This window comes from Homo sapiens, chromosome X (genome assembly GCF_000001405.40).
Source record: "Homo sapiens chromosome X, GRCh38.p14 Primary Assembly".
NCBI lineage: Eukaryota > Metazoa > Chordata > Mammalia > Primates > Hominidae > Homo > Homo sapiens.
Window position 1 is genome coordinate 51,338,468 of NC_000023.11, and position 27,535 is coordinate 51,366,002.

The window sequence follows — 27,535 nt, forward strand, 5'->3', positions numbered from 1 at the left end:
CCCTGGAAATTGTTTTCTAATTTGAGTCTACTCTGATTGTAGCAGATTTTTTTTTTTTTTGAGATGGAGTCTTGCTCTGTCACCCAGGCTAGAGTGCAGTGGCACGATCTTGGCTCACTGCAAGCTCCGCCTCCCGGGTTCACACCATTCTCCTGCCTCAGCCTCCCAAGTAGCTGGGACTACAGGCGCCCACCACCACGCCCGGCTAATTTTTTGTATTTTTAGTAGAGACGGGGTTTCACGGTGTTAGCCAGGATGGTCTCAATCTCCTGACCTCGTGATCTGCCCGTCTCGGCCTCCCAAAGTGCTGGGATTACAGGCGTGAGACACCGCGCCCGGCCAGCAGATTTTTTTTTAAGTTTAGAGGCAAGCAGAGCCAGGGAAGCTGTAGTTTGGTGGATGTAAATTAAAACAATTTAGTGATTCGGAATCCAACAAGCTATAGCTCAAAACTGTCTTGACCAGAGGCTGTATGGCCTCTGCCAGATTAGTTTACCTCTCTAATTTTCAATTTTCTCATCTGTAAATTTGCGGTAATTACAGTCCCTACTTTTGTAAATCACTGCTTCTGAGAAGCCCTTCTTGATATTTTTTGAAATAGTTCTTTTTTCATACAGATGGGCTCTTGCTCTGTTGCCCTAACAGGAGTGCAGTGGCATGATCATAGCTCATTGCAGCCTCAAATTCCTGGGCTCGAGAGATCCCCCTGCCTTAGCCTCTAGAGTAACTGGGACTACAGATGTGTACCACCACACTTGGCTATTTTTTCAGTTTTTGTAGAGATGGAGTCTCGCCATGTTGCCCAGGCTGGTCTCAAACTCTGGGGCTCTAGCCATCTACTTGGCTTGGCCTCCCAAAGTGCTGGGATTACAGGTGTGAGCTACCATGCCCAGCCCTGTTTTGTCATAGTTCTTATCAAAAGTATACTTATTAGCCTGAATGTCTCTGTCTTCTTAATTCTGAGGTCCACTAGCTTTGAGAGCCAGACTGGGTTGTCTCTGTGTCCTGAGTCGGGCACAGAGCCTGGAATATGGCATCCCACAGATGTTCCTAACATGTTTATTATATAAATGGTTGCCACACCTCCTACTTGTGAAAAACACATAGCTATTATTTTGCCAGGTATTTGTTTACCTGAAAATATGAAAAATGAGATACCGTAAGACTGTGATCTCTGATCAAGTTTCTCTTTTAAGTTTCCCTTTATTGGGAAGAATATTTCATCTATAAACCATGCCTTTATTTTTCAGGATTTTCCAGTACCAATATATTCCTGACTTCTTAGCTTCATAAAGGACTGTGTGATATTCCCTTAGGTGCTAAATTGGCCCACAGCTGCATTTGATAATTCACTGAAGGCTTAAAGCTTCCCAAATACAAATGATTTAAGAACATGGTAATCCTTCAGTATTTATTTAATGTAAGAACCTTTGAATGAACACAAGTATCCTAATTATTTTAATTTACAGGTAAAAAACATAGACAGCAATTAGGATTATTAGGATTATATGGTAACAAGCTCATATAGACAAGGCTAAAGCCTGACTGATTTGACTGGTAAAAATACAAGGAACCACTTTTAGATTGAGACAGTTTAGTACTTACATAAACAGTACAAAGAATGAACCAAAGAGGCCAACTCCCCAGGTCCTTGTCTCATATACCCTAAAAGACAACAAAGAAACAAAAGGGGCTAGATGACTATAATGCAAGTTGAGGGATACTCCCTGGCTGAGGAGCCAAATCTATACTGCGGCTGAGTGGCTATATATTCCGCAGCTCTATTCTAAAAGGCACAGGAAGGAAAGCTCCATACCTCATCAGAATCTGGTAAGTGATGAGAAATTCATTCAAGACAGCCTCTCAGGAGAGAGAGGGAAGTGACTGGGAGAAGGCCTTATAGCAGCTCCTTACAGCCTCTGATCTTCTTGTGTTCTGGGAGGATCACAAAACAATTAACCAAAACTCAGATTAGCTGCAGTTCAAGCCTACATGGATATATGCAAGGGTGCCAGGCCATCATGGAGGAGCCATTCCCCTACAACTCCACTCTCCTTTCATATATCCACCTAAGGATTCTTTTTACAAACATAAGCCACCTGTTGTGGCCACTCTAAAGATACAGAATGGACCCCATGCAAAATTTGGTTTAGATATCAAGAGCGATAATGCTGTATATACATCAACAGGGTATTCAAAGGTTTATTACTCGCATAATGAGGCTCTTTTGGGAGAGCAAGGCAGGCTTCCAAAGCTGATCTGAAAATGTCTTGATAGAGCTAGGAAAGGAGACTAGCTTACAGTTTTTATGGTGGTTAGGGGTGCTGGGGTGAGGGTTCCAATGTGCAGCTGGGGACTTGCATGGTTTGAAACTCCTTTCAACAACAAAGGAGAGAGCACCCAGGAATTTCATTAGCTTGTCCAAATGCAGGGCTTAAGGAGAACTGAGGTGAGGCTTAGATGCTGTCAGCAAACATCCAAAAAAAAAAAAAAGACAGCTTCCTTATTACAATTTACTCCTGATGTTCGAGAAATAAAATGTACTACGTTTTTGTAGTTGAATTCAAACAGATTTAAATAATCCATTATGGTGCTCTATGAGGTCTGTAGCCTGATACCTGTAAGAAAGATGAAAGTTCCATCAACTGTCTCATTCTAGAGCTCAGCATTGTGTATTCTGGGAAGTGAAATGAATGTCTTGGTGGCAATAAATGGCATCTGGAACTCTAACGGCAGTAACGAGTGTCTTAATGAGGCCTTGTATTATAGTTTTATTATATGTAAAGGCATGTATGGTATTGACTTATATTTTGGTATCTGTGAGGCAAGAGATTCCCAGAGTTCCATACCCCAAAAAAGACACTGGATAAGGAATTTCTGTTGCTGCCATTGTCCAAACCAGACAACCATATAATTGGCAATAACCTAAGGGTCTAAATACTTACAGAGGGGGTCAATTAGTGACCCAGGCATCCACTGCTAAGATAATAGCCTGAAGTTTGGCCAATTGTACTGATCCTTGGGTCCAGTTCTTTATCAGAGACATCCTAACTAAGGGATAAAAAAAAAAACAGCAACAATCCACTGAGCTCCATTATGTGTGATTATGACAGTGTATCCATAAAGTGGACAAACTCCCATTATTCTTCATTCAGTTGATTCTACAGGGGTCCCCAAGTAGCCAAAGGGTCTGGTAGAGGGGTAGCCTCATCCAGCACCATGGCATCTGGCAAAGGACTGAGGACAGGGGAGGCCATCTCCACCTGTAAGTGTGATATGCCAGAGGGCCCAGGTTTGGTTCCTTCCTGCAACAAAGAGACTTTGGTGGCTGTGATTAGTTTGTAGGGTGCTGCTTCCAAGACCCAGGGCATAATTAGCTGGAAATGGAAGGTCATGAGCTGAGTGCCTATGAAAGCCTCTATTTCCACAAGACCCCAGTATGTATCCAGCAGTTGCCACTCTAACAATATACAGCATAAGACCTACGAAGGCAGTTTCTTGCATCAGAAGGTCATGGACAACTCATGGCCATCATGGATGGTACAAGGACTCCGAGAGGCATTAGAGGAGGATGCTAAAGCCTCTACAGTGAAGAAGTCTCAGGGTGGGCATGGCACTAATATGGTTGAAAAAATTCTAGAATATTTTGCTGGGAGGGGGTCCCACTCAAGGTGGGCCTATTTTGCAAGTAATGGCATAAATGGGCCAAAGTAAAATTTGTAAGTGAGGAAAATGTTGCCTCCAGAACCCACAAAGGCCTAAATATGTTGGGCAAGCTTTAATGTTGACAGGCATGGAATGCCCTCAGTTTACCAATATTCAGGAATTTAAACAAGGTGGCAAGGCTTTGTGCCCTGTGTGGGGCAATGGTCCATCCCCTTTTTGTGAGCTCCTTCTTAGAATATTTGTATGTCCTGAATGAGTTTTCTAAAGAATTCTCTTAGAAAAGGATGCCATCAATGTGGTGTCATATCTGTGCTCCTGGAGCAAGTTAGATGCAGTTAAGGTCTTGCCTGCAAAGACTGTGTGAGATAGCAGAGCTGTTGAGGTACCCTCTAAGTAGCCAGGTAAAGGTGTACCATTTCACTTTGGAAGGGAAGGAAAACGGGCTGAGAGGCTATTGAAATACACACTAAACAGAATGTATTAGCCAAATATACAATAGCAAAACATTTATCAGTTGCTGATTGGAGTCAATAATTTCCATTGTAATCATAATTAGGGGGTCTAATTACTGGGACCACAGCATAAAGGCTGTGGTAATTCATCAAGAAGTCTCATTCATTCTTTCCAAGTTTAGGAACGGGCCAAATTAAGCTGTTAAATGGAGAAGCATTGGATATAATCACCCTCCCTCTTCTCTAAATAGGCCTTGTAAAATGGGTTGCAATCCTTTGAAGGCTCTGCCTTGAGCTAAGAGCCATTGTCTTGTCAATGTCTAATTGACACTGGGCTCTCTTAGCTCTGTACATTGTGGGGGAGTTTTTCATGGAGGCCCATTTCTTCAAGTCAGTTTGTAAATGCCAAAGACTCAATCTAATTTTGATTTATTATTTAATGAGTCTGAGAGTCCATGCCCACTATACAATATTTTAGGGCAATGGATGCTATAACTATGGGGAATTTAGTCAAGACAACAATTATGATGGTTAAATGGAGGCATACATTTTGTCCTCTATTTTATATTCAGTAACTACCCTAAGATTACAGGGCTACCACGTGTATTAGGGTTCTCCAGGGAAACAGAACCAATAGGATGTGTATACATATATAGAAGCAGATTATAAGGACTTGGTTCATGAAATTATGGAGGCTGGGGTGAGTCCCAAATTTGCTATGTGGACTAGCAGCCTTGAGACCCAGGAGAGTTCATGGTACAGATGAAGTCCAAAGGCAGTCTGTTAGAGTATTCCCCCTTGCTCAGGGAGGTCAGCCATTTTATTCTATTCGGGCCTTCAGTTGATTGGCTGAGGCCCATTCATATTGTGGAGAGCCATCTGCTTAGTCAAAGTTCACTGATTTAAATATTAATCTCACCCCAAAACACCCTCCAAGTTGACATATAACATTAACCATCACAAGTCCACCCCTCGTCAAATTGGCAACCATACACATCTTAAACCATACTTTATCCCCTCAAAAAGACAATAACAAGGCCATACTTTCTACTTAACATGATACAACTCTCCTGCATGCAATGGAAAGTGAATAACCTTTTCCCCAGGAGAAGATGCAAAGTCTTTGCATTTAATCTCTTTGATAGCTCATAAGTTAAATACTATGATAACAAGTTCATGCATCTTGTGTTACATGAAAAGGAGATAAGATAAAGAAGAAAAAGATATTTGCTACACACACACACACACATGCACACACGCATGCAAACACAAACATATAACAAAATAAGGTGGAAATACTCATAGTGATTGCCGTCTTCATTTCTGTAACTGGTCACATAGTAGTAGCTGGTATTTATAATTACCTTCTTCCACTACTGATTATGTATTTCCTTTGCCTTCAGCAAACACCTCACCTGGTCATAGTTCTTTATTTGGTAGGGTGACCCAAACCTTCATTCCTAAGGACATTAGTAGTCTTACTTCAATTAGGTTGTTGAAGTTTACCATTGATTTTAATTACAAGACATGGTAATACTAAGAGATGCCCTGGCGGATCCTCCTATATTGCAGACATACTCTTCCTTATCTCCTTTGAGGAATAGCAATCTGATTTCCTTAGTAGTCAGAATTACTCCAGCTATCAGAGTAAGTCCTTTCTTTACTTGTTGATTCAAAGTCATGAGGATCCCAAAGTGGCCAGGTGGCAATCTTAACTTCCAGATCAATGGAATAATTGTATCTTCTGGTGGAAGCATTCCTCCCTTTGGGCATAAGACCTCTAGGCCAGCAGAGTATAAGGTTGTGGGGAAAGGAAGCAAAAATTTTGCTAGTAGGTCACAAGGCTTGTTTACTGAGTGGTGTCACTCCCATTTCCCTTCCTTGATTACTGGACCTGTGAATCCTGGCTATTGGAGAAACAGCACCATATATTGGACACTGATTCAGTGCATATATATCCTCCTGGAGAACATTCCTCTAGCCCTGCAAGGTATTGTCACTTAGCATGCAATCTTCAAAAGGTCACTCCACTGTTCTGTCAAGCCAGGTACTTCAAGATGATGGGGAACTTGGTAAGAGCAGTGAATTTCATGAGCGTGAGCTCATTTCAGCACTGCATTTGCTGTGAACTTAGTTTCTTGATTAGAAGCAATACTGTATGGAATGCCATGACAGTGAATAAGGCATCCTTTAAGTCCACGGATGGTAGTTTTGCAGAAGGACTGTAGGTAGTGAAGACAAACCAGTTTCCAGAGTAAATGTCTATTCCAGTAAGAATAAAATTCTGCCTTTTCATAATGGAAGTTGCTATGGTTTCAATGTCTCTCCAAAATTAATGTTGAAACTTAATCCCCAATGTGGCAGTACTGAGAGATGGGGCCTTTAAAAGACAGAGCCCTCATGAATGGATTAATTATTCATTCATGGATTAATGGATTAATAGGTTATCATGAGAGTGAAACTGGCAGCTTTATAAGAAGGGGAAGAGAGACCTGAGCTCCATGTGAGCACACTCCTCAGCTGCCTCAACATGTGTTGCCCTGCACCACCTTAGGCATGTAAAAATAACCTCTACAAGAGTCCTCACCAGCAAGAAGGCTTGCACCATATGCAACCCCTTGACCTTGAACTTCTCAGCCTCCATAACTGTAAGAAATAAATTTCTTTATATATTACCAAGTTTCAGGTATTCTGTTGTAAACAACAACAAAAAATAGTCTAACACAGAAGTAGTCCAATGTAACCGACCTGCCATCAGGTAGACAGCTGATCACCCTAGGAAATAGTGCCATATTGGCAACTTGGTGTTGGTCTCTGATGCTGGTAGTTTGGGCACTCAGCAGCAGCTGTAGCCAGGTCAGCCTTGGTGAGTGGAAATCCATGTTGCTGAGCCTGTGCATAACCTCTATCCCTGCTGCCATGGCCACTTTGTTCACAAGCCCATTGCATGATGATGGAGTTACTGGGAAAAAAGGCTGACTGGTATCCACAGAACAGGTCATCCTATCCACTTGATTATGAAGATCCTTCTATACTAAGGTCACCCTTTGTGAGCATTCACGTGAGATGAAATATCTTAACATTTTTCACTCAGAGAAATCTATCCACATAGCTGTTTCCCAACTTTGCTTATCACCAGTTTTCCAATCACATTCCCTCCAAGTCCCTGACCATCTGATGAAAGCACTGGCTACGGCCTGTGCATCAGGATGTAATCCCATGTCTGGACATTTCTCCTTCCAAGAAAAGTGAGCAAAAAGTTGTATTCCTTGTAGTTCTGCCCGCCGGGTAATTTTCCTTCACTAATGTCCTTCAGGGATGTTCCAGGACGGGGACGTAGCACTACAGCTGTCCATTTTTGGGTGATGCCTGCATATCACGCATAATCATCTGTAAACCAGGTCTGAGCCTTCTCTTCCTCTGCCAACTAATCATAGGGTATTTGTGTCTCCAGGGCCTGCTTGGGCATAATGTTATTTACACACACACACACACACACACACAAACAAACAAACCACTTCCACTTCATGGAGTGCTGCTGTGCACACCCAACTTGATGACCTAGTGGATCAAATAACACTCATTTTATGAATAGCAGTTCAGGTCCCATGGTAACTTGGGGGCCCATGGTTAATTGTTCAGTCTCTACTAAGGCCCGGTAGCAGGCCAAGAGCTATTTCTCAAAAGGAGAGCAGTTATATGCAGAGCATGGCAGGGATCCTCTCCAAAATCCTAAGGGCCTGCACTGTGATTCACCTATAGGGGCCTGCCAAGGGCTCTGTAGTAGTCCATTTTCATGCTGCTGATAAAGACATACCCAAGACTGGGCAATTTACAAAAGACAGAGGTTTATTGGACTTACAATTCCATGTGACTGGGGAGGCCTCAAAATCGTGGTGGAAGGTGAAAGGCACATCTCACATGGTGGCAGACAAGAGAAGAGAGCTTGTGAAGGGAGACTTCCATTTTAAAAACCATCAGATCTCGTGAGACTTACTCACTATCATGGGAACAGCATGGGAAAGACCTGTCCCCATGATTCAGTTACCTCCTACTGGGTCCTTTCCACAACACATGGGAATACAAGATGATATTTGGGTGGGGACACAGCCAAACCATATCAGGCTCCAAACAGCATCTCTATCTGCCACTGTCACTTCAAGCACCATTGGATCTGCTGGATCACATGGCCCAAGTGGCAGAGTAGCTTGCAGAGCAGCCTCGACTTGTTGTAGAACCCTGAGTTCCACAGTCAAGCAAATTAACATGCCCATCATCTCAATTTTGTTGTTGTTGTAATAAAGGTACCTAAAATCTACTTTCTTCACAAATTACCAGTATATGATACAATATTATTAACTATAGTCCTCATGTTGTACACTAGATGTGTAGACATTCATCCTACATACCATAACTTTCTATTATTTGACCTACATCTTCTCTATGTTCCTCTTTTTTCATTGCTGGAGGGGCCAGATGCAACAACTTATCCTTCACCTTAGAAGGGATATCTTGACATGTTCCACACCACTGGACCCCTAGAAATTTCACTAAAGAAGGCCCCTGAATTTTTGTCAGATTTATTTCACAGCCCCTGGCATATTAATGTGTTACCAATAAGTCTAGAGTGGTTGCTACTTCTCATGCACTAGGTCCAATCAGCATAATATAGTCAATGTAATGTACCAGTGTGATTTCTTGTAGAAGAGAAAGATGATCAAGTTCCCCACAAACTAAATTATGACATAGGGTAGGACAGTTGATATACCCCTGATGTAGGACAGTGAAGGTATATTCCTGGCCTTGACAGCTGAAAGAAAACTGCTTCTGGTGGGCCTTACAGACAGGTATGAAGAAAAAGGCATGTGCCAGATCAATAGCTGCATATCAGATGAGATGTGTTAATTTGCTCAAACAATGAAACCACACTGAAACAGCAGCTGCAATTGGAGTCACCACCTGATTAAGCTTATGATAATCCACTGCCATTCTCCAAATTCCATCTGTCTTCTGCACAGGTAAGATATTTGAGTTGAATTGGGATGTGGTGAGAATCACCACCCCTGCATTTTTTCAAGTCCTTAATGGTGGCACTAATCTCTGCAATCCTTCCAGGAACATGATATTGCTTTTGGTTTACTATTTTCCTAGTGTATTAGTCCATTCTCATGCTGCCCAAGCGTGAACTGCCCAAGGCTGGGTAATTTATAAAGGAAAGAAGTTTAATTGTTCAGTTCCACATGGCTGGGGAGGCCTCAGGAAACTTACAATCATGGCAGAAGGGGAAGCAAACACGCCCTTCCTCACATGGTGGCAGGAGACAGAAGTGCCAGCAGGGGATATGCCAGATGCTTATAAAACCATCAGATCTTGTGAGAACTATCACGAGAACAGCATGGGGGAACCACCCCCATGATCCAATCACTTCCCACCAGGTCCCTCCCATGATATGTGGGGATTATGGGAACTACAATTCAAGATGAGATTTGGGTGGGGGCATAGCCAAACCATATCACCTAGGTAGAGGAAGATCTAGCAGCTTCCACTTGTCCTTTTCAACCATAATAGCCCTTACTGCAAAAGTCATTCTTTGGGATTCTGCCAGTTGCTGAGTATATCTACACTAATTATTCATTCTTAAAATGGGAAAATAATCATAGGATGGACTCAGGGACCCACTGGGCCCACTGTGAGGTGGACCTGAGCTAAAACTCCATTGTTCACCTGACCTCCATACAACCTTACTCTGACAATGATGTTTTAGGCCTCCTGAAATTAGTGTCAGAGCCAATAGTAGTCCCTGAAAGGTCTGATTATTTTCTTTTCTCCTATGCAGAGTTACCCTGGCATAAGGCTGTAGGTTCCTTTGGGAAAGGTTGGGAGACAGATTAATAATATTCATTTTTGGCAGTGTTTCAGGGTCCTTCCTCAAGGGGATCTGGCCTCCTTTTCAATTCAAGAGTTTCTGTGTCTGTGAACTGGCTCATATCTGAGAATTGATTGAGGAGCTATGACACTCTTTTTATGATTCAGGTTACACGTTTATTAATTTGACCTAAAGTTTTCTGCTTATACAGATCAAACATAACTTTAGTAGACTTCTGTCTTTGTCCACTCAGACTGCTCTGATAAAATACCATAGACTGGGTTGTTTTAACAACAGACATTTATTTTTCATAATTCTGGAGTCAGACTCTTTATTATATGACCCTATCAGATGTCCCAATTACTTGTACTGATTATACCAAATCTGTTCTGTTTGTCTTAGGCAACATTGAAGTAGAGTGATCATGACTATAACTCATAGTAGGATGACTGAACCCATCTGCAGGATAGATTTCAGTCACTTGTAGTCAAGGCAGTTAAATATATAAAAGCACAGAAAAGAGCCCAACAATAACAAGATGAGGCTAAAGGGAATCATATCAGTGTACAAAATATTAATCTTATTATTGTTTCAAGTGGAGGCTATTTCTGGAGTCAGTGGATGTTAGGAGGTTTCTGAGAATTCTTAGATTGGGATTTCTTCTTGGCCAGAAATTAAGTTGAGAATGGTGGGAACATGAAATTGGCCAGATGCCCTGTGAACAAGAGCTGAGAGAGAGATTAATGGTCTCCCTTCCAACTCGTGACCATTCAGGGTCAACGGTGTTTTCTCCCCACCATTCATGGTTGTTCTCTTTCCACAGCCACAAGACTGATGTGACTTGTTTCTGCAGCAGTCACTTCACTGTTTTTCCAGTCTTCTCAATGTCTTACCCACTCCATATCTCTGACCTCATCCCTATGTGGTTTGGAAGTTTCTTCTTTGTATTTCTTGTACCATCTAGATTATCTCACACTCCCTGACATGTGGGTCATGCCAAGATCACCTTAGGAGTGGTCATTTCATATTTATGATCAGTACCATCAATGTCCATAATTGCCCAAATATAGCCAGATGGCAAAAGAAGCATTAGGTTAGTCTCCCACCCCCACAGCTTACAAGTTCTAGTAGCTTGATTTCCCAGGAGTAGGTGTAGGAGTGAAAAAGTAGAGTGAGAGGAGAAAATTATGGTTTGTATTTTCTTACTGCCAGCCTGGACTTCCTTTCCTACTCTTCAGCCTCATAATTAAACATTTTATTTAAATAGGAGTTACCTTTCTGAAGAATTACCACATTTAGAGCCCAAACTGCCTGTCTTAAGTGTGTGCTCCATTGGGATCTGAGCCTTGGTTAACCAGTTGTCTTTTTCATTTTCTCCCTTAAGAGTCCACTTTATCTTTCAGTGGCACCTGCTGCCTGGAAATGATATGGGGCATAAAATATCCAGAGAATATCTATATGGCTGCCCACTGTTTGTTACTTTTTGCTATAAAGGCAGTACCAGTGTCTGACCAGATGTGTTCAGGGAATCCAAATATGTAACATAGTCCATCTTAGAGTCACTGAATAGTATGGCCCCCATTTGCTAAGTTGATAAGAATAGCAATGCCATGCCTGAAAAGTTGTCTATGAAAGTCAATGTCCAGTGGTATCCTCAAGAGGAGGATAGGATGTACATATTTTCCAGGATTGGCCAGGTCTGGTACCTCTGGCTATGTGTCCCAAAGCTCCCTTTGCCACTTGGTTGTATAGCTTTCAGTCTGAACACATCTGCCAGGCTTCAAGTCTCATGTTCTGGAATCACTAGGTCTTGTTTTTATTTTGGCCCAGTCCTGAATTGTAAATAGATTACTGTACCCCATGTGATGTTATATTCAGGTGGATGCCCTACCCAGGTGTCCTTTTATGGGCAGTACAGATTTGATCATCTTGCTGTTGCCATTGATGTTCATCTTCAATGGGTCCTTTGTCGTGGGCATCCCTGTTAGTCATTAACAGAGGTTGTGGTCCTGTGCAATTTGCTGCTATGTTGTTTGTCTCTGCCGGGACTGAGACTTGATCATCCAGTCATCCTACTGCCAGTTACTACACTGCCAGACTCTTGACTCCTGCTCATAAGTCAATGAAAAATATAACAGGGTGCATTTTGGGGGATGTTTTCCAGGGAAAACACCATGAAAATATATCACTAAACAGACATCCCTTTTCCATGAGCAGTTACAGTACACAGTTTTATTTGGAGATGCAATGCAGCAGTGGCCCAGCACATCTCACTGGTTTTGAACTTAGCTGATCCATCTGTAAACCAGGCCCAGGTGTCCTCAGGAACCTCAGTGTACTAAAGCACTCAAGAAGTTGAAGGTGCTGGCAGAGACCCCACATCTAAGACAGCCTCATCTAAAACACGACCAGCCAATATTTCATGTAACTGTGAGGCTCCATAATGCCAAGCTTACTTTTTCCCGGATATACAACTTCCACTTAATAATGGAGGCTTGTTGGGTGCTATAGTTTGAATATTTTTGTCCCCTTCAAATTTCATATTAAAACTTAATCTGCAATGCAACAGTATTGGGAGATGTGGCCTTTGGGTGGTGATTGAGTCATGAGGGTAGAGCTGTTATAGGATTAGGTGCCATTATAAAAGAGCTAGATGGAGGGAGCCCATCCCTTTTTTGCACTTCCACCTTTTGCCACATGAAGACATAGGGTTCCTCCCCTTCAGAGGATGCAACACTTACCAGACAACCAAATATGCTACCACCTTGATGTTGGACTTTCCAGCCTCCAGAACTGTGAGAGAATAAATTTCTATTCCTTATGAATTACCCAGTCTATGGTATTTTGTTGTAACAGCACAAACGAAGACATTGGGCAACATCTACTTTGTTGATGTTCTCCTTTCTGACCCACCTCACAGTACAAATGTCGGGGTGTCACAACACCTGCTGCTGCTTTGTTAGTCTCTCAGAGTCCACCAGCAACCAATAACAACCAGTAATAGGCTGACAAATGGACTATGCCAGGTGGTCATGCCAGCCAAGTGCTGTGTCCAAAACCCCAGGAAGCACCATTGCCTAGTGTATTAGTCTGTTCTCATGCTGCTGGTAAACACATACCTGAGATTGGGCAATTTATGAAAGAAAGAGGTTTCAATGGACTCACAGTTCCACATGACTGGGGAGGCCTCATAATCATGGCAGAAGTCAAGGAGGAGCAAGTCACATCTTGCATGGATGGCAGCAGGCAAAAAGAGAACTTGTTCAGGGGAACTCCTCTTTATAAAACTGTCATGTCTTGTGAAATTTATTCACTATCATGGAACAGCATGGGAAAGACTTGCCCCCATGATTCAGTTACCTCCCGTCCCTCCCACAACACGTGGAAATTCAAGATGAGATTTGGGTAGGGACACAGCGAAACCATATCACCTAGTGACCACATTGTTTTGTCATAAGCTCCAGTCTGTGTAATTGTCAATTACTGACACTTGTAGCTCAAAGGGCTTTTCAGAACTGACTGGCCTGAGTGGTAAGTCTGTACAGATTCACAGGACGGGTATAAAATTACGTAGTTTCTTTAGTCACTTCTGCCTCCATTAGTCCTTGGTTAGTATAGTGACATCCATTTCCCACCCCAATATCTTTATTGCTTTGAAGTTACTACATGACTAGACTGGGGAAGTCTGGAAGTCTAGCAGGCTTCTGGTTGTACACTCACACTACTAGCACTGTTCTAATTGTGTCATTTCCCCACAGGGAATATCCATTGCAACCATGAAATGTTACAACCACTTGAGTGTATATTGGTCTGAAAGGACCCATATGTAAGATTTTATAAGTTCATTGTCCAATCTGAGATTTCCAAATCTAGTTAAAGTAATTTTGAGGCTATGTTAATTTCCTATTGCTGCTACAACAAATTAGTACAAACTCAGTGGCTCAAAAAATATATACATTTGTTTTATTACAATTCTGGAGATCAGAAGCCTAAAATTAAGGTGTTTGTAGGGCTGCATTTCTTCTGGAGGCTTCTGGGGATAATCTATGTCCTTGCCTTTTCAATCTTCTAGAGGCCACCTGCATTCCTTGGCTTGTGGCCCCTAACTCCATCTTCAAAGCCAGCAGCATAGTATTTTCTCTCCTCTCTGACTTTCTGACTCCCTCTTATAAGAATTATAATGCCTCTTGTGATTACACTGGGCCAGCGTGGATAATCCAGCATTATTTTCCCACCTCAAAATTTGTAACATAATCACATCTACTAAGTTCCTTTTCCCATGTAACATATTCATAGTTTCTGGGGATTAGGATGTGAACATTTTGAGGGGGACAGCATCATTCCACCTGCCACACTAGCCATGACTATGGATGCTAGCTAGCCAGCATCACAATGGCTTGTATCCCAGTGTTCAGAAGAGTTGAAAAGGTTTGGCAACCTTGGTTGCTGTCAAGTCAGTAACACACCTTGACCAGTGTATAAGGCCTCCAGTCCCACTTAGAGAAGCAGGGACCTTGGCCTCTGCCCTAGTTGTTCTTTTCTTGAAGCGGGGCAGGACCTGGGTTAAGAGGTAGTGTTGAAGGTGTTGGGTCAACACTAGCTTGAACAGCACAAATTTCATCAAGGATTCTAGGTCCTTTTGGTGCTCCTCCTGTTTGTCCACAGTAAACACCAAAGCTAGCTAAGGATTATTCCCTCCTACAGCCAGGATCTTTAAATTTTGTGGTCCTCTTGTGGCCTGATAGTAAGAGAGAACTTCTCTCATGGGAATATTATCAATCTCTTGGGGGACCCTGGTATAATAGCCAGGTCTACAAGGTACTATTGTCTGGATCTTCAGTTGGTTTCTTTTTCTCCTCCTTAGCCTGAAGGACATTTTCCTAGTCCTGTGTTCTGTAGCATTTTGTTTCCCAGGAGCTGAGGAGTTTTCTGGAGGCTATGTCTGGGACACAAGAGAAGATTTTTATTGCCGCTGATAGCCTGGTGGTGCCAACTGAACAAACCAGTGAATCTGACCCTGTATGACTATCTCATCACCTAAGAACTCTTGTTCTCCACTATAAATCCAGGCTCAGGTTACTTTAGCTCTAAGGGAAGTTATAGCTGCCCCTGCTCTCACCCACAGGTGTTTATCAAATACAGAAACTCATCTCAGGTTGGTCACTGTTTCATTATGAATGTAAAGACCTACTGCAACAATTCCTCACTGGTCTTGACATACTCTTCTATGTCAATGTTATTAGCTGAAGTGTATGTGGCCAGGCTGGCTTGGAGCATGGGGCCAGTCTTTATATGACTGAGTGATTTCCATTCCTTCTCATTTATAAAAACTGGAATGGCTATCTCATCTGCTAGTCGGATAAGCCAAGCCCCTGTACTCTTATTGGAATCTGTTCAAAGCTTTCTCCAATTTACCTAATTTCTAGCTCATTGTAAGAGTGGACCACGGCACATGTATGAGTAACTGACTGCGCTTGATTATCAGGGCACGTTATCTGCGGTTATGGCCAGGGATTAGAGGGAAACAGTTTTGCTTTCCCAATGGGACAGAAGGGTGGATAATAACCATGGAATACTTCTTTTTGGCTTTATGGAGTCCCTATCTCTTATCTATAACTATCAATGCAAGTCATCAGGGGTCTCAGGGATGATGGTCAAGGACCACTTGTCCCCCTTTATTGCCAAACGCTTCAGTAACCAGGTCTGCGCTACCACTCACCAATGTTCCATACCTGGCTACCCAGCTTGTGGGGTCACAGCTGTCTTTTTTTCCAAAAAGGCACTGTGACTTTATAGGCCTCCAGGAAGAGAGGATTAAAAATTGGAATGGAGTCAATCTGTCAGGGTAAGGCCAAAGTCCCCTATAGTGTGGCCTCTTTTATTATATACAAATGGCCAAATTTTGTAGGAGTTATAGTTTTTCTATCAGGAACATACTGTTATTTAGCTTGCAAAACACAGCAGTTTTTCTATGATGCCAGAGGGATTCAGTGTTGTGAAGCTACCTACATTGTTTCAAGAAATTTTATTTGAAAAGCAGGCCTTGAATTTTGGGGGAGCTTATCAGTTTTTCCCGTAGCTGGGCAGCCAAGCCTGCTGATAATGAAACCTTTGTCAACCAACAAGACATCATTTATACAGTGAAAACTTTGGACATCAGAGGAATTTCCTAACACCGTATAAACATTCAAGATTCAAGTATGTAACCTATTTTAAACCAATTACACATTTTTACAACTATATACACAATGGATCTTCTCAAGCCTCACTCAAGTTACTTTTTTTCTGTCTCCATAGCAAGTTTTGCCCAAACTCTACTAGGCATCTTTTTTTTCACAGAAACATAGAACAAGAGGCACCTCCAGAGTTACAGGGTAGCTGGAAGCTCAGAGAATAGGGGAATAGGGTGGCACAGGGTGAGCAACTTACACCAGTAAGTGCATCTTTGCACTTACTTTTTTGTGGTTGTAAATGGCCATTCACTGGGCTTCAACAAATGTACTCTTAATAACATCAAAGCATCAATTGAACAGCTGGTTTCAATCTTACTTCTAGCCACTTGACTTCCAAATGTTTATCAGCAGGTAACATGGTAACACTATGGGATCCCTGGGAGTCCTGTCCCTTAACAGGGCTCATACAGACCCTGTGCGAGGACCCTTACTTCTCCTCCCTCACCTACCTCTTAGGCAAGGGCTATGTTACCAGATCCTGGGAGTCTTATCCTTCCTAATATGGCCTATGTAATCCCTTAATAGGAGGACCCTCCTTCACCTTTTGCCCACCACATAGGCAAAAGCATGTGCAACCAGATGCCAAGGAATTTATCTTTTCACTTAACCAGGACTGTGCAGCTCCATGTTTTCTAAAAGGACACTATAAATTTACTGGCTTCACATTGACACAAAATTTGTCAGGCTCACAAGTAATAATAAGGCAAAGCCAAGGCCTGACTGATTTGACTAGTAAAAATTCAACAAGCTGCTTTTAGATTTAGGCAGTTTAGTACTTACATAGACAGTGAAAGAAAGATTAGCCAAAGGTGCCAGATCCCTGTGATCCTTGTCTCACACACCAAAAAGGATGACACCAAAAGGGACTAGGAGACTACAACACAACTTGTACAGTACTTTGTTACTGAGGAGCTAAATCTAGATAGCAGTTAAGTGATTCTATATCTTGCAGCCCTATTTTGAAGAGGATGGGACAGAAAGCCTATTACCTCCTCAGAACCAGGAAGTAGATGGGAAACTGTCTCATGACAGCCTCCCGGGGAACTAGGAAGGTAAGAGATCGCCTTACAGCAGCTTCTTATAGGCTTCCCATTCTCTTGTGTTCCAGGAGGATCATAAGGCACTCTTCTAAAACCCAGGTTAGGTGTGGTTCAAGCCTTTGCCAATGTGGATACAAACAAGGCACAAGGGCACCATGACAGAACCATTCCCTTTGGGTGAAAACCATAGATGTGAACCCAGTGATCCATAGAATTACTAAGTCTGTTTAGGCCTTTCACATTTATAATGAGGGATATCTCATTTTCCTCCTCCTCATTTAGCCATTCATTCTCAATCTACTTTGCTGTCTCTTCTATTTTTCCCCTCCCTGCTCAACATTTTACTCTACACAAACTTCAAATTGAGAACCTATACTCCTTTAGTGTACTTTTGTTTGTGTTTGCTCCCTGTCTAGATTCTGAAATGTTTGTGGGGAAATATTCCATTTCATTGCCTTTTCTATATCCAGTAGATATCACACTGAATGAAATATGGTAGGCTATTTGTTGAATTAAAATTAATTTTAGCATTGACACTAATTGGAAAAAGATCCCATCCAATCTGGAATTAGTAGATGATTTTTCTGTATGTGCTGTATGTGTCTTGTTTGTGATTTTAGTGCATCAAGTGCTATATAAATTCTGTTAGGCAAGTGAGGGATTTGAGGACTAGAAATTGGACTCAATTTTCTGTGTCTGTCCTCACAGTGACTAGCTCAGTTCTCAATACAAAATATGTTAAGCATCATTTCTATCACTTTAGTAACTCATGTCTTCCCTACGGTTTTTGTCTCATCTACACATGGCCTGTACTTAATATTTTTAAAATTAAATTAACTCCAAAAATGAATCCTCTGGGTACTGAACAATATTATTAAATAAAAATAAATTTAAATGTTAATATATCCAAAGATACTCCCATCCTCAGAATCCCCTCCCAGAATATACCCTCCATCCCTATCGATGCTTCAAGGGTTCACCCACCAGTTCCAGGGGTTGGTATTTCCAGTCACAGAACCTCCTTAGGAGATGCGATGACTCTGAGTTAGGGCCACCATAGAAACCAGAGAAAGAACTGTTCCTGAAGCTAGAGAAAAGGAAAGTACTTACAATCTGAACCCAAAGGAATCTTGTACTTCCCATATCATGATCTCAGAACTTGTTTGAGCCAGTGAGGCAGAGCAGATGGCAGACCAGAAAGAAAAAAAAATGAGCTCACCTTGGCTTATTCTCCTTGAAGGGGAAGATATTCTAGCTTCATGCCTCTGAGGTTCTAGGAGAGATCACAGCCCCACAGCCACTCCTAGAAAAAGAGGCACCTGCATATCAAACAACTCTGAAGAAAATCTGCCAAATTCCAAACTTCCCCTCTCCCACACATTCCCCAGAGAAACTCCCCAACAAGGCCCTCAATAATAAAGTGGTAACACCAAGAGGATATATGTCAAAAGAAATATAGATCCAAGATTATTTTCTAGGTTTTAAGAAAGGCAATAGCAACAAAATCCAAAATAGACAAATGGGATCTAATTAAACTAAAGAGCTTCTGCACAGCAAAAGAAACTATCATCAGAGTGAACAGGCAACCTACAGAATGGGAGAAAATTTTTGCAATCTACCCATCTGACAAAGGGCTAATATTCAGAATCTACAAAGAACTTAAACAAATTTACAAGAAAAAAACAACCCCATCAAAAAGTGGGTGAAGGATATGAACAGACACTTCTCAAAAGAAGACATTTATGCAGCCAGCAGACATATGAAAAAATGCTCATCTTCACTGGTCATCAGAAAAATGCAAATCAAAACCACAGTAAGATACCATCTCACACCAGTTACAATGGCGATCATCAAAAAGTCAGGAAACAACAGATGCTGGAGAGGATGTGGAGAAATAGGAATGCTTTTACACTGTTGGTGGGAGTGTAAATTAGTTCAACCATTGTGGAAGACAGTGTGGCGATTCCTCAAGGATCTAGAACTTGAAATACCATTTGACCCAGCAATCCCATTACTGGGTATATACCCAAAGGATTATAAATCATGCTACTATAAAGACACATGTACACATATGTTTTTTGTGGCACTATTCACAATAGCAAAGACTTGGAACCAACCCGAATGTCCATCAATGAAAGACTGGATTAAGAAAATGTGGCACATATACACCATGGAATATTATGCAGCCATAAAAAAGGATGATTTCATGTCCTTTGCAGGGACATGGATGAAGCTGTAAACCATCATTCTAAGCAAACTATCAGAAGGACAGAAAACCAAACACTGCATGTTCTCACTCATAAGTGGGAGTTGAACAATGAGAACACATGGACACAGGGCAGGGAACATCACACACCAGGGCCTGTCGGGGGGTGGGGGGCTAGGGGAGGGATAGCAGTAGGAGAAATATCTAATGTAAATAATGAGTTGATGGGTGCAGCAAACCAACATGGCACATGTATACCTATGTAAAAAACCTGCACGTTGTGCACATGTACCCTAGAACTTAAAGTATAATAATAATAATAATAAATGGTCTCTAAAAACATTAACAGGAGGAGGACTGGAGACCATGAGAAAGAAGAAAACTTAGGGGTAGAACATGAATCAGATAATAGAGACCTTTTCTTTATTTGTCTTTTATAAATATGAAAATAGGGCTCATCAATCTAAAATAATCAAAAACATGAGAATCTAGTTTAAAGAGAGTTTTATTCATGAGCAAAAGTTGAGGACAGGCTGCCCAGGAAAGCACAAGCTCCAAAGAATGGAAGTCAGTATTCCAAAGTGTAGAAGTTTGGGATCGTTTATATAAACAAAGTTCAGGAAAGTTTCACAGAATTTCAGTATCTTTCTATGTAAAGCTTAAGGCACAGTTACAATGATCTGATTAGTTAAGGAGGTCCTTTTATTTCATGAAAGGTATATTTAACATTCCACAGTGAAGATGAAACTGTCATGGGGTTCCTATTCAGGTGCCATCTTGTCTGAGTTAGGTACAGGACAATAAAGGAAGCAGTTAATCTGTAATAAAGTTCAGTGATTGGAGGGGGAGGTCTTGTCTCTGGTCTTTCCTAGTCATTTACAGAACAATAACAATGAGGACAAGAGTTAAGCTATAATCTGTGAAGTAGAGTTATAATCATGCTATGTGACTCAGATTACAGTCACATCTCGCTCAAGGCTTAAAATGTTTTGAGGGTTCCAATGGCTTTTTTAAAATTCCAATGGCTTTTAAATCTGATTCATTTTTCACATTTCCCCCTTTTTAATCAATATCTTTCAAAGATTAGAAGGAGCAAGATTATGTGAAAAAAAAAGATATTTCAAAGAAAGCATCATAGATGAGCAAAACAATAGCTTTGCCTCCTTTTATGTTCAGGAGTATAGTCCCATGTCACTAGGAAGGTTCTTTCCTAGAATGTCATGTGCCATGGCAAAGGGAAATTGGACAAGCCATAAAGTTGATGGAGTATAGGCCAAATTTAAAGAAACATGAAAAAAGTGATTTTGTGACCTGTGTTAGGCTAAACAGATATATCTTCAATTAATGCAGTTCTTTGGGCAATCATTATTCTAATCTTTTTAGTCATGCATTGACTCCATTGCAAACAAATGCCATAACAGCAGTGTAGACAAAAACAGGACAAAACACAACATATGATTATAATTCCCAGGATAAATAACAGATTTTGCCACCAAATTCCCCAAAATCCAAACAAGCTGCTTAGCCAATTGCTTGGAGAGGGTTTTGGATCTGAAAGGTTGGTTAGTTGGGTTTTCATGCCATCGTTTAATTTAGTGATGTTATTTGATTCATCTGGGATATAGATACAACGTTCAGTTTTTATGATAGTGCAGGTTCCCCCTTGGGCAGCACTGAATATGCTTAAAGCCATAGAGTTCTATAATATACCATTTCTCACAAGAGTAATTTCATTATTTAATAACAAAATACCCATGCAGCTATCATTTAGTGCTTTTTGTGTATAATTGGTTAGGGTCTCTACATGGCAAAATGACATGCTCAATACCTAGTTGTGGTGTGAAGATGGAAGCTAAATGGTCATACCAATAGGACACAACAAATCCAACAAGATTGTAAATGAGGAAAATTTGAAGGTTTTGACAAGGTATGAACTACTTAACCTTGCACCCAACCATAACCAAGGGAACATTGTCCTAACCTTCCTGGGGGTAACCATGGCCATAGGTTAGTGCCACATAGCCAAGACATTCTATTTGGAGCTAACTAATAAATACATGGTCATTGTGCCTATTCAGTGTTACGTCAATCAGTACTTTTTAACATAATGTTGTCGATACAATATTCTTTGGGTATCCATTCCATATCTCTAGTGCTACTGGGCCAGGTGTCTTTAGTATGATTTCTCTGTTCCCAACATAAAGGGTCAGGCTGGCTGAGCTGACCAAAGGAGGGGTTAAACCAGATAAAACCATCCCAAATTTGTTATACCATCCTGAAATAGTATTGTCTTAGGTTTTAAGTGGGGCAGTGTTACTGTTTCATACATCAGTTGGGGTAGTGGCAGCGTTAAAGCTAATGAACTAAATTTTTTACTGAGAAGCTTTTCCCATGCCCTTTTTCTGCAAAGTACTAACAGGCCAATGATGAACATTGTTCTTAATTACACTAGTGTCAAGCACCAATGACTGGTTTTGAGAAAGATGGATATATTTCTGACGTTTTATCCACTCTTGTCCGAAGGGAGGAGATACTCACCACAGAAGGCTAGAAATACTGGAAAGGGGCATGAGACTACACACCCGTCAAGCACCTTTTTGTTATCTATTACATAATCCTGGGCTCATTGCAGAAAGAGATTTGCTTCATAAGCAACAGCTGGTGATAGTAGTGCCAACATGGGAGAAACAAGGACAAAAGGAAAGAAGTTTAGTGGGAGTTTGTAAAGGAAGATGTTCCCCATCTATTAATAATTGTATATTAAGTATTCATTTAGATAGAGGCCTAACCCAGAGTCTTGTGTTTTAGCTGTCTAAATCAGATGTCATCTCTTCTTGAACTGGCATCAACTTATTTTAAGTTGGAGGTCACTTTCTGGGAAAACAGTCTACTCAGGAGATGGAACATTCTTTAGAAGAGAAATGTGGATCTTTGTGTCTATTCCTTCTAATTTAACAGCACAAGGGTTACTAAGAAGCACTTGGTAAGGGGCCCTCCATTTTGGTTGGAAAGAGTCTTTTCAAAGATGCTGGGGAGGGGGCGGGGCCAAGATTGCCTACTAGAAGCAGTGTGTTCTGAGGCTCCCATGGAAAACAACAACAACAACAAAAACAAACAAACAAACAAAACACATAATAAGCATGTGAATCCTTTACCGGCAACCAAGGTATCCAGGTTCTATCATCAAAACTGACTAGAAGGCTGGTGTGACCCACGGAGAAGGAAGATCAATGTGGTGCAGCGGCCCACCTGAGAGCCACAAGAGCCACACAGGGAAGGGGATCCCCCTCCCCGCAGCCAAGAGAGGTGGTAGGTGAGCGTGCTACCCAGCCGGGGAAACCGTACTTTTCCCAAGTAACTGTGCAACCCATGGATCGGAATATCCCACTCATGAATCCATGCCACCAGGGCCTAGCATCCCAACCCCAGAACACACACATTCTTACAGCCTCTCAGCTAGAATCTGCTTAAGCCTACGGAACTCCTGGGGGGAGGGGCGACGAGCACTGGCTGCTGCTGCCTGCTATCTAAGCCCTTTGAGCTCTTTGGGGGTGGGGCAGCAGCCATCAGTGGGACTCGCAACTGCCTAACATACTAAGCTCCCTGGGCAGGGGAAGGGCAGCACCCATCTCTGTAGCCCCAGGCTGAGCTTTTCCCCTGCTGGAGCCAGGGAGGCTGGATGGCTTAGTCCCAAGACTTGTCCCCCACAGCCCAACACACAGGCTGTGGTAGTCTGAGGCCAGAGGACCTCTTCAGGCCTGAATCTGACCCATCCTTCCTCATTGGGTGTGGCTTCCCTGCAGGAACTCCAATAACTCTAGTCAGAGGCTCAGGGACAGAACCCAGATCTCCCTGGGCCTAAGTCCCTAGGGGGAGAGGTAGGCCCAGTCTCTGTGGACCAACAGACTTAGCCTTTCCTCCTGGTAGTTCTGAGGAATATGGGCAGCCCAGATGAGTGGATTTTCCCCCAGTGAGGCACACCCCCCTCCACCAAAGGACAAAGTGCTTCATTACATGGGTCCTGTCCCCCATGCCACCCAACTGGGTGAGACCCTCCAACGAGGTTGTCAGACACCCTATACAGGAGTGATCCTACCGGCATCAGGTTGGTGCCCCTTGAGGTCAGAGGTCCCAGAAAAAGAAGCAGGCACCCATGCCATCTGTGCTGTTCTCCAGCCTCCTTGAGTGACATCTCCAGGTGTGGGAGTGAATCAGATGAATAGGGCCTGAACTGAACCCCCAGCAAACGGCAGCAGCCCTACAGAAGAGGGACCTGACCATTGACCGAAAAACAAACAAGTGGAAAGCAACAACAACAGCATCGACAACAGCAACAAAAAGCCCCCATAAAAACCCCATCCAAGGGTCAGAGCAAAGAGCAAAGCTAGACAAACTCATGAACATGAGAAAGAATCAGTGAAAAACTGCTGAAAGCCCAAAAGGCCAGAGTGCCTTTTCTCTTCCAAGTGGTCTCAATATCTGTCCATCAAGGGCACAGAACTGGACAGAGGATCAGATGGACGAATTGACAGAAGTAGGCTTTAGAAGATGGGTAACAAAAAACAAAGATGAGCTAAAGGAACATGTTCTAACCCAATGCAGAGAAGCTAAGAACATTGGTAAAAGGTTAGAGGAATAGGCTGGGCACGGTGGCTCACGCTTGTAAGCCCAGCACTCTGGGAGGTCGAGGCGGGCGGATCACGAGGTCAGGAGATCAAGACCATCCTGGCTAACACAGTGAAACCCCGTCTCCACTAAAAATACAAAAAAAAAAAAAAACTAGCTGGGCATGGTGACAGGCACCTGTAGTCCCAGCTACTCAGGAGGCTGAGGCAGGAGAATGGCGTGAACCTGGGAGGCGGAGCTTGCAGTGAGCCGAGATCGCGCCACCCCACTCCAGCCTGGGTGAGAGCGAGACTCCATCTAAAAAAAAATAAAAGGTTAGAGGAATTGCTAACTATAATAACCAGTTTAGAGAGGAAGATAAACGACCTGATGGAGCTGAAAAACACAGCATGAGAACTTCGGGAAGCATACACAAGTATTAACAGCTGAATCAACAGAGTGGAAGAAAGGATATAAGAGTGTGAAGACCACCTTACTGAAATAAGCCATGCAGACAAGACTTGAGAAAAAAAAAATGAAAAGGAATGAACAAAGCCTCCAGGAAATATAGGACTTCATAAAACACCAAACCTACAATTGATTGGAGTACCAGAAACAGACAGGGAGAATGTAAACAAGCTGGAAAATACACTTCAAGATACTATCCAGAACTTCCCCAACCTAGCAAGACAGGCCAACATGCAAATTCAGGAAATACAGAGAACACCATTAAGATACTCAACAAGAAGATCAACCCAAGACAAATAATCATCAGATTCTCCAAGGTTGAAATGAAGAAAAAAATGTTAAGGGCAGCGAGAGAGAAAGACCAGGTCACCTACAAAGGAAAGCCCATCAGACTAACAGCAGAACTCTCACCAGAAACTCTACAAGCCAGAAGAGACTGGGGGCCAATATTCAACACTCTTAAAGAAAAGAATTTCCGACCCAGAATCTCATATCCAGCCAAGCTAAGCTTTGTAAGCAAAGGAGAAGTAAAATCCTTTCCAGACAAGCAAATGCTGATGGATATTGTTACTACCAGGCCTGCCCTGCAAAAGCTCCTGAAAGGAGCACTAAATATTGAAAGGAAACACCTGTACCAGCCACTGCAAAAACATACCAAAATATAAAGACCAATGACACTACAAAGAAACTGCATCAACTAGGTGTGCAAAATAACCATACAGCATCATGATGACAGGATCAAATTCACACATAAGAATACTAACTTTAAATGTAAATGGGTTAAATGCCACAATTAAAATACACAGACTGAAAAATTGGATATGCAGTCAAGACCCATGGGTGTGCTATATTCAGGAGACCCATCTTACATGCAAAGACACACACAGGCTCAAAATAAAGGGATGGAGGAAAATTTACCAAGTAAATGGAAAGCAAAAAAAGAAAAAGCAGGGGTTGCAGTCCTAGTCTCTGACAAAACAGACTTTAAACCAGCAAAGATCAAAAAAGACAAAGAACAGCATTACATAATGGTAAAGGGAACAATTCAACAAGAAGAGCTAACTATTCTCAATATATATGCACCCAACACAGGAGCACCCAGATTCATAAAACAAGTTCTTGGAGACCAACAAAGAGACTAGGAATCCCACACAATAATAGTGGGAGACTTTGACACCCCACTGTCAGTATTAGACAGATCAACAAGACAGAAAATTAACAAGGATATTCAGGACTTGAACTCAGCTCTGGATCAAGTGGACCTAGTAGATGTCTACAGAAATCTCCACCCCAAATCAGTAGATTGTACATTATTCTCAGTGCCACATGGCACTTATTCTAAAATCACCCACATAATTGGAAGAAAAACACTCCTCAGCAAATGCAAAAGAACGGAAATCATAACAAACAGTCTCTCAGACCACAGTGCAATCAAATTAGAACTCAGGATTAAGAAACTCACTCAAAATCACACAATTTCATGGAGATTGAACAACCTGCTCCTGAATGACTCCTGGGTAAATAATAAAATTAAGGCAAAAATCAAGAAGTTCTTTGAAACCAATGAGAACAAAGAGACAATGTACCAGAATCTCTGGGGCACAGCTAAAGCAGTGTTAAGAGGGAAATTTATAGCACTAAATGCCCATATCAGAAAGCTAGAAAGATCTCAAATCAGCACCCTAACATCACAATTAAAAGAGCTAGAGAGGCAAGAGCAAACTAATCCAAAAGCTAGCAGAAGACAAGAAATAACTAAGAGCAGAGAAGAATTGAAGGAAACAGACACACAAAAAACCCTCCAAAAAAAAATTCAATGAATCCAGGAGCTGGTTTTCTGAAAAAATTAACAAAATAGATAGACCACTAGCTAGACTAATAAGAAGAGAGAGAAGAATCAAATAGATACATTAAAAAATGATTAAGGGGATATCACCACTGACCCCACAGAAATATAAACTACCATCAGAGAATACTATAAACACTTCTACACAAATAAACTAGAAAATCTAGAAGAAATGGATAAATTCCTGGATGCATACACCCTACTGAGACTAAACCAAGAAGAAGCTGAATCCCTGTATAGACCAATAACAAGCTCTGAAACTGAGGCAGTAATTAATAACCTACCAACCTGAAAAAAAAAAAAGCCCAGGACTAGATAGACGGATTCACAGCTGAATTCTACCAGAAATACATAAAGGTGCTGGTACCATTCCTTCTGAAATTATTCCAAACAATTGAAAAGGAGGGACTCCTCCCTAACTCATTTTATGAAGCCAGCTTCATCCTGATACAAAAACTGGGAAGAGACAACAAAAAATGAAAACTTCAGGTCAATATCCCTGATGAACATTGATGTGAAAATACTCAATAAAACACTGGCAAACTGAATCCAGCAGCACATCAAAAAGCTTATCCACCACGATCAAGTCAGCTTTACCCCTGGGATGCAAGGCTGGTTCAACATATGCAAATCAATAAACATAATCCATCACACAAATAGAACCAAAGAGAAAAACTACATGATTATCTCAATAGATGTAGAAAAGGCCTTTGATAAAAGTCGACATTCCTTCATGTTAAAAACTCTCAGTAAACTAGGTACTGATGGAACATATCTCAAAATAATAAGAGCCATTTATGACAAGTCACAGCCAATATCATATTGAATGGGCAAAAGCTGGAAGCATTCCCTTTGAAAACTGGTACAAGACAAGGATGCCATCTCTCACCACTCCTATTCCACACTATATTGCAAGTTCTGGCAAGGGCAATCAGGCAAGAGAAAGAAATAAAGGGTATTCAAATAGGAAGAGAGGAAGTCAAGATGTTTCTGTTTCCAGATGAATTTATATTATATATATATATAATATAAAATCCAAATGATTTTATATTAATAAAACCCAATCATCTTGGCCCAAAAACTTCTTGAACTGATAAGCAACTTGAGCAAAGTCACAGGATACAAAATCAATGTGGAAAAATCACAAGCCTTC

At 41.7% G+C, this 27,535-nt stretch overlaps 1 long non-coding RNA gene across 8 annotated transcripts in view; it reads right to left on the reverse strand.

Annotated features, from left to right (window-relative positions):
- LOC105373204 (uncharacterized) overlaps positions 1–27,535 on the reverse strand; it is a 175,604-nt gene that overhangs the window by 117,485 nt on the left and 30,584 nt on the right. For 5 of the 8 annotated variants that reach the window (XR_007068239.1, XR_007068234.1, XR_007068238.1 and 2 more), the window contains 2 exons: positions 18,477–18,560; positions 1,606–1,665 (listed from right to left, as the gene is read on the reverse strand). This is a non-coding gene — a long non-coding RNA (uncharacterized LOC105373204). Of the gene's footprint in view, positions 1–1,605; positions 1,666–1,816; positions 1,936–18,476; positions 18,561–27,535 lie in introns of all 8 variants that reach the window. The other 3 variants (XR_007068232.1, XR_007068237.1, XR_007068236.1) reach the window with 2 other exon arrangements.